At 41.8% G+C, this 6,649-nt stretch overlaps 1 protein-coding gene across 7 annotated transcripts in view, besides 1 other annotated feature; it reads right to left on the reverse strand.

The window, feature by feature from the left end:
- Positions 1-6,649, reverse strand: part of STK39 (serine/threonine kinase 39) — a 293,574-nt gene that overhangs the window by 136,240 nt on the left and 150,685 nt on the right. The window lies entirely within an intron of this gene.
- Positions 365-414: a silencer, noted in NCBI's record as "silent region_12071". NCBI's record gives its function as "represses an Ori minimal core promoter by ATAC-STARR-seq in GM12878 lymphoblastoid cells {active_cell/tissue: GM12878}" and the evidence as "EXISTENCE:reporter gene assay evidence [ECO:0000049][PMID:35858748]".

Here is a 6,649-nt window from a genome sequence, read left to right on the forward strand (position 1 = left end):
GCATTTAGTAGGGACCAAAGATACATTTGTTGAATGAATGAATGAATGAATGAATAACAATTTTCTGCTCCCTGAAGAAGGTCTTGCCAGAGCAAACCTGCACCACAAGGAAACTTCTCCCCATCTTCCCTCATGCTTTCCCCTTAGAGAGGGATGTCAGGAGCTAGTGACATTGTATCCTAGAACTGCTGAAGGGATATGAAGAAAAAGAAAAGTAAAGAGGACTCCATTAGTTTCTGAAACCCTTTAGTTCCCCATATCCAACATAACTGAAACTCGAGCAGTCAACAGAAAACCTTGCTCTGAAACTGTTCACCTCTGTGAACCAGCACTCAACACAGACACTACTAGTGCACAACAGGTACCGTAGAAATATTAGTTGAACAAGTCAAATAAATACCCTAGGCTAAAACGTAAGACACAGGAACATTCTGGGCCAAGAGTCTCACCCTGAGACTCAAAGGCATTTTACCATGTCCTCAGAAAACAACCATCTTTTGCCATCACCGGCCTTTTCGCTGTGGGGATGTGGTTAATAGTGATGAGTATAGGGAGGCTGAGGGGCTTAATTTATTCCATCTGCTTAAGCAAAGTAGCAGCTGGTGTCAAGAAAACTCTGGGCCTTCCTCTAAGTATCTTGAAGATACTGCGAGGAAAGGCATGGTTCTAAACGCCAAATAATGACAGAGCTGATGATCAAAATAGATGGGCCCATCTGCCTCTGAGATGACATATTAACATCCTATCGTGCTGGGAATAATTCAAAGAAGCAAACAGACCCATGTTGGTTCACTAAAATCATTTTCCCCTTGTAATCAACTCATTTCACTATCATGCTGTCTGCAAAGGGCAGAGACTTCAGATGTGAGGATAGAAACACAAACAGGTGCACACACACACACACACACACACACACACACACATGATACAGCACAGACTTAAACTCTGGTTTGAAAGACTGAAGGGTCTGATTCCAGCACAAGTTTAAATTGATAGGAAAGAAGAGCCAATGACTGCATCACAAGGTCCCTATGCAGAAACATGCCTCACATTTAAACTTCTACTCCATCTCCACAGCTCACTCCACCCAAGTTATCTTCTCATGTCTCTCTCATTCAAAACTCACAAAAATATAAGGAGACAAGGAATCCCCTGAATTCCCATTGGAGGCTAGAGCCTCTGAGGGAGATGAGATAGGAACTGCCAGAAAGCTGCCCCAAGTCCTGGTGGGACAGTGTTGTCATCACACAAACTGTTTAGCTGTGGTGTCAGATTCCTCAGTTATTGGGTCAGAAAGGCAGAAAGATTATCACCCTATGTGCAGAAAGACTGACAGGTGTGACACGCTGACGTTGTGTGTCAAAATGAGAGAAAAACAGACCTTCAACTTTCTCTTCTTCTTGGCTACTACATTCATTTTTGTTACCTTTTTTTTAATGAAAATGTTCATAAATGCATAAGGTGAAAATAGGATAACAAACCTCTTTTACTCACCTTCAACATTATCAACATTTTGCCAATCTGATTTTATCTATACATTCCAACTCTTTTGCTTCAGTATTTTTAAACTAAATCCCAAACATGGTATCATTTTACCTGTAAATACTTCAGTATGCTTCTCTGATAAGGACATTTAAAAACATGATCACAATATCATTTTCCCAAAGAACAAAATCACCAATAATTCCTTAGAATCTAATATCAGTCTACGTTCAATTTTGTCCTACTGTCTCAAAAATGACTTTTTCAGTTTACTTATTCAAAACTGGATCCCCCCAAAATCCAAATGTGGTCCACACTCTGAAATCTATAACCATTGTTGTCAGGGTCTCTCTTAGAGCCATCATATCCACTTAAACAAGCTCCGATTTAGATGCTGCTGTTTCAGCCAAAAGGACAGAGTAGGAACGTCAGTGTTTTCCTATTGCTAACAGAGAACACCATCTTCACAGGGATCAGACACCTGTTCCTTACATCATCAGGACAATTCTCAGTCCTCAAGGAAAGCAATAATGGAAGCTCCACTGTAAAAATGCTCCAGACAGGAGTTTTATCTCAGGGGCAATGTCTCAACTGTGATCAAATTCAATACTAAAAAGGGCCATAAATTCTATCTTGTTAATTCATTTCATACTAACAGAAGACTGCTAGAGCAGCAAAATAAATAACACAGATTTACCTGTAAATGGTTCTCAAAGACTATGTATTCTAATTCATCTATTTTCCTAACAAGGGCCAGCCACTGATTTTAAAAACAAACAAGAAATAACATAGCTGTATATGTATATTCTCACACAGTGAATAAAGATAAAATACCGTTTAAAAAATTCAAGCTTCAGAATCCATGGTAAGATAGAGGAGAACAGGTATTGAGAAAAACTGAGTTTCACAAGTAACCCAGGTCACACTGCAGGACCTAAGCTTCTTTATCTAAGGATCTAATCCTCTCATCACATCTGCTCATCGTTAGTAAAACTAGGTATATTTGAGTACCATCATTTTTTTTTCTTTTTCTACCTAATCCCAATAAGAGTCCAATGGCCGCATTGTAGATGGCTAAAAGCAGAAGGGCAAAAGGCACTCAGAAAATTCAGAACACGGAAGAGAATCAGTTCTTGAGTTAAGAGGCTGTGTGCAGGCTACGCACTCCCAGGGTACGGAATCTTTCGCACACAATGTTCTCAGCTGTCACTCCCGTGGTTGGACACACATGTTTCTCTCTCCAGGCCACCCTCTCCTGTGATTTGCAGACATGCATATTGGTCTCCTGTGCATCTCCCCCTGGAAGCCCTGCAAGAATCTCTCGCTCAACACATTCAGAATGTTCAGCATCTTTCCCAGGAAATGTTTCCTCCCATCTTCCAAACAGTCTGTAAGTCAGAAAGCAGGGAGTCAGTCTGAGCTTTTCCATAAAGCTCTCCTTATCCTTCACCATCTTCTCAAACTCCCATTCCCATGAAAACCTTTCAAGACCTAAGCTGTACTAGTCCATTCTCATACTGCTATGAAGAAATACCCAAGACTGGGTAACTCATAAAGAAAAAGAGGTTTAATGGACTCACAGTTTCACATGGCTAGGGAGGCCTCACAATCATGGCAGAAGGCGTGGGAGGAGCTAAAGCAACATCTTACATGGCAGCAGGCACATGAGCATGTGCAAGGGAACTGCCCTTTATAAAACCATCAGATCTCATGAGACTTATTCACTGTCACAAGAACAGCATGGGAAAACCCGCCCCCATGATTCAACTACCTCCCAACGGGTCCCCATGGATTATGGGAGCTACAATTCAAGATGAGATTTGGGTGGGGACACAGCCAAACCATAAGTCATGTCAACCCTGCCTCCTAAATATCTCTTCTACCTATTCTCTGCCTGCTCTGCCTTTGTTCCCACCTATCCTCACTTGCACAGCACAGTCTGCCAACTACCAGTCCACCAACCTGACCCCTGCTTCCAGTCTTATCCCTCTAAACCACAACACACTGCCACACTGCTGCCTCAGAGCTCTCTCTAAAGGCAAACTGGTCGCTGCATGTCTCTACTGAAATTCTTATCACAGCTCCTCATTTGTGGGTGGTGGGGGGAAAGCCCAATCTCCTCATCAAGACACAGGGACACTTTTTGCTCTGGCTCCTGCCCACCTCTGCATATCTTCCCTCTATTTCAATCACACAAACAATTACTCTCCAACACATTTGCAAGTACTTGCCCATGCTGGTCCCTCCACCTGAGATGGGCCTCCTTGCCTCTAGGGAAGGAAGACTACCACATATCTTACACAGGACAACTATAGGACCAAGTCCTTCACAGGGTCCTCCCCAGCCCTCCCCAGCATGCTGTGCGCCATTCCAACCCAGCATTCATCCTGATGCTCAGTGGTTGTTTCCAGGCCAAGTCCTCCCCTGATCTGTGGGGACCACTACCCTCCCAGTCATCCAGGCTCAAATTCACACTGCCAACTTTCATTCTTCTCTTGGGTTACTTACAGAGTGAGTCTTATCTCTGTAGCCTCGACACAGTCCTGGTACTTGATATATGAACAATAAATGTGCACCAAATGAAAAGTTGTCTTTGTGCATTTTCAATATTTTTCTCCCCCTCCACACTGAACTTTTGAATAGACACAGGTCTCCACTGACCTCAGAAGCCTCTGCACATCCCAAGCTATGTGTGTCTTCCTGCCCTTTACAACCAAACTTTGAAAAATCACCCACTTGCACTTCTTCATCCATTCACTCATTAATTCTGACTGTCCAACTTTTTCTCTTACTATGAAAAACAAGCTAAATCCAATGTCCTTTTGTGAGTCTTCATTTTCCTTCACCTCTCTGCAGCATTCAGAACTGCTGACCACCTTCACCTTCCTGGTTCCTGGGACAGCACTTTCTTTTCCTCCTCTCATAGTTCTCTGCATCCTCCACTTGTTCCTGTGACTGTTCCCCCAGGACTCCCCAGGGCTCCTTTGTTCTCTCTGTCATGTCCTCTGTGGCAATCTTATTACATGGCTTCCACAATCACCTCCATTGAGAAGACACCTTCAAACGGAAATCCCAATGGAACTTCCAACTCAAATGCGTCCTAATGAACTCCTGATCTTCCCTGCAAACCAGGCCCCCTCCAGTTCCCACCAGTTTCAGAAAAGGTACTACCATCCTCCTATTCATACTGCCTCAAATCCTTCCAGTTGTCTTCCCCCTTCTGTTTTGCCTTCCATGTCCAATCACTTACTAGGCTATGCCAAGTCTAGCACTTCAATGTCACTTGTCCCCTGTCCTATGCCTCTGCCACAGTTCTAGTACAGACCCCCATCACCTCAGGCCTAGCTGTCTTTAACAGCTTCTTCCAGCCTGATCTCCTCCTTCAAACTGTCCTCTACTGTTCACTCCTGAGCCAACTTCTACAGTTGCTTCTCTGCCTACAAGGCACCTGTCATGGGCTCCTTACAGCTCACAGCACCGCATCCCAACCCCATGGCTTAAGATCTAAGGCTTCCACACTCTGGACTCGATCCAGCTTTACAACCTAACTTCCTACTGCATTTTTTCATGCAAGCTTTATTCTAGCCCAGTTCTCAAATATGCTTGATCATAAAATTCACCTAGGTCATGTGTTAAAAATGCAGATTTCTGAGTTCTACCCAACACTCACTAAGGAAAGACCTCCAAAGAGGTCTAAAGAACAATCTTCAATTCTCTGATTCAATGATCTACAATTAGTCTCCCAGAACACTTTTTTTCCCCTTCAATCACAAATAAAATTGTGGCATTGAAGGGGAAAAAAAGGAAGAAAAGAACACTCAAATCCCCACTATCATCAAAAGCCTGCGCTGAATCTGCTAGCCACTCGTGTATCTCTTTCTTTTTTTTTTTTTTTTTTTTTAAGACGGAGTCTTGCTCTGTCGCCCAGGCTGGAGTGCAGTGGCGCGATCTCAGCTCACTGCAAGCTCCGCCTCCTGGGTTCACGCCATTATCCTGCTTCAGCCTCCCGGGTAGCTGGGACTACAGGGTATCTCTTTCTTTAATCACCAAACTTCCTCAGAAATCACCTATGACCTTCCTATATACATAAATGTCTACCAAGATGACGACTATGCTTTGCTTTTCTTTTGTTGAAAGACAAATCCCCAATTATGTTGACAATGAAATAAGAAAATCAATTTAGAATCTGGGACTAAGGATCTTAAATCAATAGGTGTTATTTTCCCAAGAAAAATAACTGAAGCAGAAACCTTAATATCCATATGCCTATTGCATTTTAAAAAGCATTAATTATAATATCTATATAATTGCTAAACATAGGGTTACAGTGTTCAGGTTCATGTAGTTTTATATTTTCATACCACACACACAAATATATGTTTTTGCAATCTAACTGCATTACCTATTTTAAGTTATATTGGCTGAGATTTTTTTTTCAATTTAAAATTGATTCGTGTTTATTACAGAGAATTTAGAAAATAAAGACTAGAACAAGGATGTGATTAGAATCCTTCCACTGGGTGACAGTACAGCACAGTGTTTACCAACAAAAGGCCTCTGCATGAGACTTTGACACTAAGTTCCAACCTGACTGCTTGCTAGTCATCATGACTTAACCACGAAGTCTCAGTCTCTTCACCTGTAACACACGGTGATAATACCTACCTCATCAGGTTATTATGCAGATAAATGAGATCATGTGGGTGAAACAGTCCAGTACCCACAACTTAGTATGTGTTCAACAATTGCTGATTTGTACTGAATTCTACCCTGGAAAAACAAAACCCAGGTGTCTCCTCAGCTTCAAAAACTCTCAGGGAATGAATCCCTGTGTCCTACACCCAAGTATGTGGAATTTAAGAACCTGCTGTGGACCTACCTATTTTCTTAGAAATATGCAGCTGAATATAACCATTTTTGGATATTTGAGATCATTATGTACTCTATGATAAGTGAATGGATGAAGACATCAGGCCACAATTTTTCCCTAAGCTCTCCATACAGGAAGAAAAATGTAGCATTCAGGTCATAATGGTATAATGAGATTTGAAGTATTAATGATATAATGTCTGAGTTAAAGATAAACTTCCTTATGAAACTTGTTCCATATTTATATTCTGAATTATACTGTTATAAATAGATAGGCTAAATCAATAAGCATAGAAAA

Source organism: Homo sapiens, chromosome 2 (genome assembly GCF_000001405.40).
Source record: "Homo sapiens chromosome 2, GRCh38.p14 Primary Assembly".
Taxonomy (NCBI): domain Eukaryota; kingdom Metazoa; phylum Chordata; class Mammalia; order Primates; family Hominidae; genus Homo; species Homo sapiens.